This window comes from Homo sapiens, chromosome 10 (assembly GCF_000001405.40).
Source record: "Homo sapiens chromosome 10, GRCh38.p14 Primary Assembly".
Lineage (NCBI taxonomy): Eukaryota > Metazoa > Chordata > Mammalia > Primates > Hominidae > Homo > Homo sapiens.
The window spans coordinates 132,936,034-132,943,061 of NC_000010.11; the positions used below are offsets into that span (position 1 = coordinate 132,936,034).

General features: G+C 56.0%; 1 protein-coding gene across 17 annotated transcripts in view, besides 4 other annotated features; it reads right to left on the minus strand.

Annotated features, from left to right (window-relative positions):
* Positions 1–6,537, minus strand: part of CFAP46 (cilia and flagella associated protein 46) — a 134,179-nt gene extending 127,642 nt beyond the window's left edge. For all 17 annotated transcript variants that reach the window (XR_007061969.1, XR_007061970.1, XR_007061971.1 and 14 more), the window contains exons 1-7: positions 6,403–6,537; positions 5,947–6,071; positions 5,558–5,689; positions 4,963–5,027; positions 2,556–2,720; positions 1,519–1,642; positions 928–1,022 (exon numbers count right to left, since the gene is read on the minus strand). Coding sequence is in view for 14 of the 17 variants with exons in the window: in NM_001200049.3 (NP_001186978.2) it covers positions 928–1,022; positions 1,519–1,642; positions 2,556–2,720; positions 4,963–5,027; positions 5,558–5,689; positions 5,947–6,071; positions 6,403–6,451 (755 nt within the window). In the remaining 3 variants the exon portion in view is untranslated. The remainder of the gene's footprint in view (positions 1–927; positions 1,023–1,518; positions 1,643–2,555; positions 2,721–4,962; positions 5,028–5,557; positions 5,690–5,946; positions 6,072–6,402) is intronic.
* Positions 1,600–2,327: an enhancer, noted in NCBI's record as "H3K27ac-H3K4me1 hESC enhancer chr10:134751137-134751864 (GRCh37/hg19 assembly coordinates)". NCBI's record gives its function as "activates a minimal SCP1, AML or CMV promoter by ChIP-STARR-seq in naive H9 embryonic stem cells {active_cell/tissue: H9 hESC(naive)}" and the evidence as "EXISTENCE:reporter gene assay evidence [ECO:0000049][PMID:30033119]".
* Positions 2,328–3,053: an enhancer, noted in NCBI's record as "H3K27ac-H3K4me1 hESC enhancer chr10:134751865-134752590 (GRCh37/hg19 assembly coordinates)". NCBI's record gives its function as "activates a minimal SCP1, AML or CMV promoter by ChIP-STARR-seq in naive H9 embryonic stem cells {active_cell/tissue: H9 hESC(naive)}" and the evidence as "EXISTENCE:reporter gene assay evidence [ECO:0000049][PMID:30033119]".
* Positions 5,850–6,433: an enhancer, noted in NCBI's record as "H3K4me1 hESC enhancer chr10:134755387-134755970 (GRCh37/hg19 assembly coordinates)". NCBI's record gives its function as "activates a minimal SCP1, AML or CMV promoter by ChIP-STARR-seq in naive and primed H9 embryonic stem cells {active_cell/tissue: H9 hESC(naive and primed)}" and the evidence as "EXISTENCE:reporter gene assay evidence [ECO:0000049][PMID:30033119]".
* Positions 6,434–7,017: an enhancer, noted in NCBI's record as "H3K27ac-H3K4me1 hESC enhancer chr10:134755971-134756554 (GRCh37/hg19 assembly coordinates)". NCBI's record gives its function as "activates a minimal SCP1, AML or CMV promoter by ChIP-STARR-seq in naive H9 embryonic stem cells {active_cell/tissue: H9 hESC(naive)}" and the evidence as "EXISTENCE:reporter gene assay evidence [ECO:0000049][PMID:30033119]".

The window sequence follows — 7,028 nt, forward strand, 5'->3', positions numbered from 1 at the left end:
TCACTCCCCTCACATCCAAACACACTGTGATCTCCTCACTCCCCTCGGCATCCAAACACACTGTGATCTCCTCACTCCCCTCGGCACCCAAACACACTGTGATATCCTCACTCCCCCCGGCCCCCAAATACACTGTGATCTCCTCACTCCCCTCAGCCCCCAAACACACTGTGATCTCCTCACTCCCCTCGGCACCCAAACCCACTGCGATCTCCTCACTCCCCTCACATCCAAACACACTGTGATCTCCTCACTCCCCTCGGCACCCAAACACACTGCGATCTCCTCACTCCCCTCACATCCAAACACACTGTGATCTCCTCACTCCCCTCGGCACCCAAACACACTGTGATCTCCTCACTCCCCTCACATCCAAACACACTGTGATCTCCTCACTCCCCTCGGCATCCAAACACACTGTGATCTCCTCACTCCCCTCGGCACCCAAACACACTGTGATCTCCTCACTCCCCTCGGCCCCCAAATACACTGTGATCTCCTCACTCCCCTCAGCCCCCAAATACACTGTGATCTCCTCACTCCCCTCTGCCCCCAAATACACTGTGATCTCCTCACTCCCCTTGGCATCCAAACACACCATGATCTCCTCACTCCCCTCGGCATCCAAACACACCATGATCTCCTCCTACAGGCTCTTTCTGCACTTGGCTTAAAGCCGCCCTCTCCCTTCTGTGGCCTCACTGGCCTCTCCTCTGTGCTGGGAGGGAGGCAGGGCCAGGAATTGGGGTGGCCTTCGGATCCCCACACCCTGAGGTCTCCCAGGCTCCTATTCTCCAGCCCCACTCACTGCAACTCCAGACTCACAGGCCCCTGGACACAGGACCTCCCCCCATGGAGGGGACAGAGCTCTCCCAAGCCCAGCACTTGTGAAACTCAGTATTTGCTCTCCCTCCCAAAACGACTTACGCCTTTAGCATATTAATATAGAAAGTGACTGACAGGCTAATGGAATTTTTCTTTTCTTCCTTTAACTGAAGTTCGTCCATTAATTCATGACGAACCTGTCATAAAATGGAGCAGATTATTAATCTGGATTCAAACAATTCGGTAGAGGTTCAGATTTTGTGTCTAGATTTTATTTTCTCATTAATTTTGTATCTAGCTTTTCAGATACAACTTAAGCTGATTCCCCATATGTCAAAATGGACTGCTGATGAATGAATGCTTTTGGTACATATTCTTGTAGTAATTACTTGTATCTTTGTGAATTTTCTATTAACTTTAAAAAAATTCAAAGCTATTACAAAGGAAATATTTAAAGAGCGACGATAAAGGCAAAAGACCCTGTTTTGTTTTCTAAATGTCACAGTTCTATACATCTTTGCATTGGATGAACTGCTATTTCTTTTTAATATGCTTATGTAATTTTGTTCATGTATGTATGCATATAGATTTTTATATCTCTCAGCAAACTTATGTAATTTCTACGCAGTTTTCTGAACAATGACTTTTAAGAAAATTACTTCTTACGTCTCTATTTCTAATACGCTGATTTACCATAACAGAGAATATCTGCCGGTATTTCTGTGGCACGTGAGACTTAATGAACGGAGCTGCCGTGGAGCAGAACCTGGCAGCCTCCTCCTTTCTTCCGGCTTGCAGATAACACTCCAGAAGTTCCCTGGATAATAGAAACACACCACTGGTCAACCTGGTTGAAACTGTTTTCTCCTATCTAATAACCAGGTTATTAAACCATTACATATTTTGTGTTTCACAAAGTTTAAAAGCTACCCTGGGGTCAGCTTCTTCAGCCAGAACCAGGCTGTGTGGCTCACCAGGAAGGGCCAGCAGGTGCCAGACAGCTCGTTACCGCTAGCACCGGGGCATTTTGAAATGAAAGATCTGTATTGATATTCTTCAAAGGTTCCCCAAACGGCCATATGGCAAGTAACCAACACCTGCAGGCTGTGGGCTTGGTGCCGAGGGGAGCTGCTCTGGAGTTGGCACAGCTGGAATCCTCAATGGGGACATCCACCCGTCCCCAGCCTGCACAGAGAGTGCCGCAGACACAGAGAGGCTCGGACCCGTTTCCTTTCCGCCGCCCGGCACAGTGACCGAAGCATTGGTGACAGCCTGTGCGGTGACCCCTCAGGGCTGAGACCCAGCAAGGCCGGCCTGCCCTGTGCTGCCCCAACTTCCTCGCAGGGCTGCCTGGGCTCCGCATGTGCTGACTCTGCTTAGTTTTACGCTGTTAAAACGTCTACTGCGTTACCATTTTAAGAACTAAGATTGTAAAACCGTGAGCCAGGCTGCGTGGGGCAGGATCATATCTGCTTTGCTGGGAGTCTAAACACAGTATCTTGTTCTGTTGTCATAACCTCATAACCAGGGCACGGCAAATGTCATCTACAGATTTTGGAAACGACCTTCGGACAAGACACACAGAAACTTGTGACTGTGGGAGAGAACGCACATGGAGTGTGCCCCAGTGATGTGGAACTCCCGTCCCCCCCCCGGAGAAGGGGTGGTGGCCTCAGAGCCAGAGGGCGGCCCACCGGGAGGCCACAGAGGGCACGGCGAGCTCAACTCACAGCATCAGCTCAGCACGCCACTCCTTGTCTTCCTCCTCAGTCTGACTCAGCACGTTTATGATTTGGGAAAGGCTGGGGATCAGATGGTGACGATATCCAGGCTTGAGGAACGGCCTCACCATCTGCCAGTAGAGGACTGATGCATTGTACACCAAAAAGTAGTACCTGCGGCGCGAGCAGAGGAAGCAGAGAGCACGCTCAAAGCCCAGCCGGCCCAAGCTGCAGAACCAAGGGGCCGCTGTGTCTCCGGAGCCCCTCCCAGGAGGGGCCTCAGGTCCTCTCCAGCAGATGGCAGCAGCCCCACCTGAGAAGCTTTGGCCCAGCCTGCAGGAGCACCAGGATGCAGAGCCCTTCCCTGGGACAGCCTTGGGCGACCCTGCGTCCGACGTGCCATGGCTCCAGCGCAGGCCCGGCTGTGATGACCCGGCCACAGGCTCCCGAGTCCAGACCAGGGCCTTCTTCATCAATTATTCCACAAACTGATCGGCCCCCTCCCATGAAAATACACCACTGGGCAAGGCCTCCTCTGACTCTCAAGGGATAGACAAGAATGGGCAAGGACAGAGGGAATCAAGGAAGGCTTCCTGGAGGAGGTTACATGCCTGCTGTGACCTGAAAGATGTCAGGAGGCAGCCAAGACAGTAGTAGAGGAAAAGAAGGTCAGGAAGATGGAGGAGAAGGGAGGAACCTTTGGGAAACAAAGTTCCCGTCTGCCAGCATAGAGTGTGAAGTGGAGGAGGGTGGGCTGGAAGAGTGAGCAGAGACCCCTCTCAGGGGTCTGGGCCTCTCCCTGGGCAGCAGGGAGCATTGCAGGGACTGAAGTAAGGGAATCCGGGCCCATCTGCCCTTCTCACTCTAGGGCCACTCCACAGTGGGGCAGGCCAGCTCTGCCATGTAGGGCCTGTGTGCCTTGTGGTCCTGGGCCGGCCACCAGGTGGACCAGCACTGCTCAATGCCCAGGTGGGAGGAGGACACCAGGGTGGCTGTGGCAAGCCCACTCCTCTGAGTTTACTCAGAGCCACCACGTGACCCTAGGACAGGACTCATCCTGTTTCCAGGTTTTCAGGAGAGGAGCGGAGGTGCGGGGTGTCCTGACCAGACGGTCACGCCTGCTTGAGTCAGAGGGGTCATCATGGGACTCCAGCGGCCTGCTGCGTCTCCCTGAGTGCTGCGTCTCCCTGAGTGCTGCGTCTCGAAAGGAACCCGTCTCCTCCCTGTAAGTGGCTCTCCCCAAATTCCCACTGTGGCCTCCACATGCCCGTGGTTGGGCTCACAGTCTCCTGTCCCACTGACACTGCCCTGGACAAGCCAGCGCTGCCCTCTCTCTCCACACAACCTGGACCCTTCCCAAAGATGGTCCTGACCTCTGGCAAGGCTCTGTCACCCCCTGACCCGTCCACAGTGCCCCTGAGGGCCCTGGAGCAGAGCAGCCTCCTTCCCATGGTACCCACCACTCCCGCGTCACAGCACCCTTGGAAATACCCCTTGTCTTTAGAATCTGTGGCTTGAGGTGGGGCCTCCCCGTCCCTGTCCCCATGCAGAGAGGATCTGTGGGGCTGGGCCCTACATCCCCAGCACTTGCAACAGGGTGTGACCAGAGAAGGCCACCAGCAGACAAGCAGGCCGATGTGGGTAGAACAGACCAGGGAACCCACAGCTTCTATTTAAATATCCTCCAAACATTGTATCCTATTTGAATATGTGATATATGTTCAAGCAAATATGCTTGAAACTGTCAAGCTTGCACAAAACTGATTTGAATAGGATATGAATCAGTTTTGTGCAAGCTTAACAGTTTGAAGCATGATATTTGTTTTTGTGCAGAAAGCACTGATTTTGTAGAAAGTGCTGGAGTCGCCTCCGCAGGGACAGCGGCCTTGGCCAAGTTGTCCGCTAGGGAGCAGCAAAGGCACGCTGGGCCGAAGAAGGAACCGTGGGGAAGGAGAAGGCGCCCTGGGGGTGCGCCCGGGGAGGCCCTGGAGAAAACAGACTCTTTTTTTTTTTTTATTGATACAGAGTCTCGCTGTCATCCAGGCTGGAGTGCAGTGGCGTGATCTGGGCTCACTGCAACCTCCGCCTCCCGAGTTCAAGTGATTCTCCTGCCTCAGCCTCCCCAGCAGTTGGGATTACAGGCATGTGCCACCACGCCCGGCAGAAAACAGACTCTTCACAGCCATCTAAAATCACGAAAACCGCCGAGTGCAAAAGAGGCTGTTACTCGGAATTCGGCATGAATGTGGCCTGTCCACACGCTGACGAGATGAGGGAGTGATCACACGTGCATGAAAATCACAGACCACAAACGAGGGGAAACCCCACAGTTCAAATAAATACACCCACTTGATAAGTTCTGGCTCTGAAGTCTTTCACCCAGTCAGTGAGAAACGGCCACTTCAATTTTGCCTACCTCGGTTCTCCTTTGGCAAAGTTTATGGCCTTCATGTACTCAGTCACGCAATTTTCAAATTCCTCCTAAGGCAACATAAAGAAGCACAATTAGACCGAAATACTGACCCCTGCTCACTGCCCCATCTGCGGATGCCACGGCTCCCTCACGGTTGGCCTGGTACCCCCTGTGTGTCACCTGTGTATCCACAGGTGACGGTGTGGCAGACACAGCCTGAGTGTCGTGGCGAGGTCCTGGACCTGCACCCGGGTTCCCGTCCCGCAGACACAGCGAGGCAGCAGAAACCGCAGTGCCTGTGCTCCAGCACGCCCGCCCCACCCCAGCTCCCCTGTGCCCACTCGGGGCAGCTGCAGGCGCAGATGCCACAGAGACCACGCTGCTACGAGGCAAAGGTCCAGGGGTCCTGTGTGTCAGATATCACCACTTGAGCAAAAAGCATGGACAGGAAATGGTGCAAGTTTCGTGTCACTCTGGAAAGGAATTCCTTCACTCTACTACCCTAAGAACGATTTTAAGCCTGGTCTAGCCTGGCATTGCTCTGGAGATGGGGTGAAAATTGAACTGTTGGGGATAAGGGGCACAGGACGCCTCTCACCAGGTTTTCTGCCGACTTCGGGGCACACATCTGGGCCCTGCACAGGTGCGCTCGGCCCAGAAACTGGGTGATGGGCGCCTTCACCTTGAAGTACATTTGGATGCAGTCCTCGCTCACCTCTGGCTGCCTCATCTGCAAGAGAACACCACCACAGAAGATCACAGACCCGGAGGGGTGGCCTCCCTGCCCAGAAGCACCACGGGCCCGCTTTCAGAACAGGCCCCCAGCACAGGTGGAGCCTGTTTCCAGCCCCATCCTCCATCCTGGCCCCTTGACTGCCCGGCCAGGAGCTGCCTCTCCCCAGCCCCACTCTGCATCCGCTGCACACCCAGAGGCCCTCCCTCTCCCTGTCAAAGCTGCCCTGACCGAGGATCCCGGGAACTAGTTACCTTCAGGGCCTGCTCTGCACACAGAACAAACAGGTCTGGGCTGAAGCTCTCTGAGGGGTCAAACTCCGATTTCCCTAGGTTGGCCGATTTGATCAACTCGTAGGCCTTCTTCAAGGACGCAGCATCTGTCCCAAACGGGTGGTTGAGGAAGGTTTGGTCACTGGGCTGGGAGAAGTGAGCCGGGCAACGCCATCCCGAAGGCCCCAGGCAGCCGCCTTGGGCCCCCGGGCCACAGCCACCGTCAGAACCTGTCGCCGCCAGGGAGCAGCGGTGTGGGCGCCTTCCTGTACGTTTGCTCTGGTCAGACGATCGGGAGGTGGGGGCTCCGGCTGTGGCCCTCGAGGGATCACCCATTGGGCGGGCTGGGATGAGAGGGTCCGGGGCCTCCCCGGGGCGGGGGTCGTGGCGGGTCCCGGGGCCTCCCCGGGGCGGGGGTCGTGGCGGGCCTGGGGTCACCTTGCTGGCTCTCGGCGCGGGCCAGCTCCTGCGTGATGACCAGGTCCATGGCGCCGGCGCCCTGCTCGTCCGCTCTCTCCGGGGTCCGCGGTGCGTCCTGCCGCCCACTGTCGGTTGGGTTCTCCAGCCGCGAGGACCCGGCCACGGTTGCCTGGAGACCGAAAGGGACGCGGACGCGGGGCTACGGGTCGGCGGCGGGGCCACACTTCGGGGAAGGCGAACAACGCCGCGCCCCCGCCCTGCCCCCCGCCAGCTCCGCGGGAGTGAGACACCAGGGCAGCGACCCCCGGCGAGGGGCGGGAAGAAGAAAGGGGAGGGAAGGCGGCGTGGGGGGACGCCGGGGGCTCCGCGCGGGCCTCCTCTCCCCGCTCAGGGCTCCTGTGTGCCCGGGTTCTGGTCCTGACCCCGGGCTCACCCTCCACCTTCCCCGGGAACTTCCGACTGCGTCCTTCGCGCCTGCGCTCGTCGGCTCATTCATTCATTCATTCATTCATTCATTCATTCATTCATTCATCCATTCAGTCAGTCAGTCAGTCAGTCAGTCAGTCATTCCTTCATTCTTTCGTTCTTTCATTCATTCCGTCATTACTTTAACAGGCGGTGATTTGCCCCTGCCACGGTGCTGG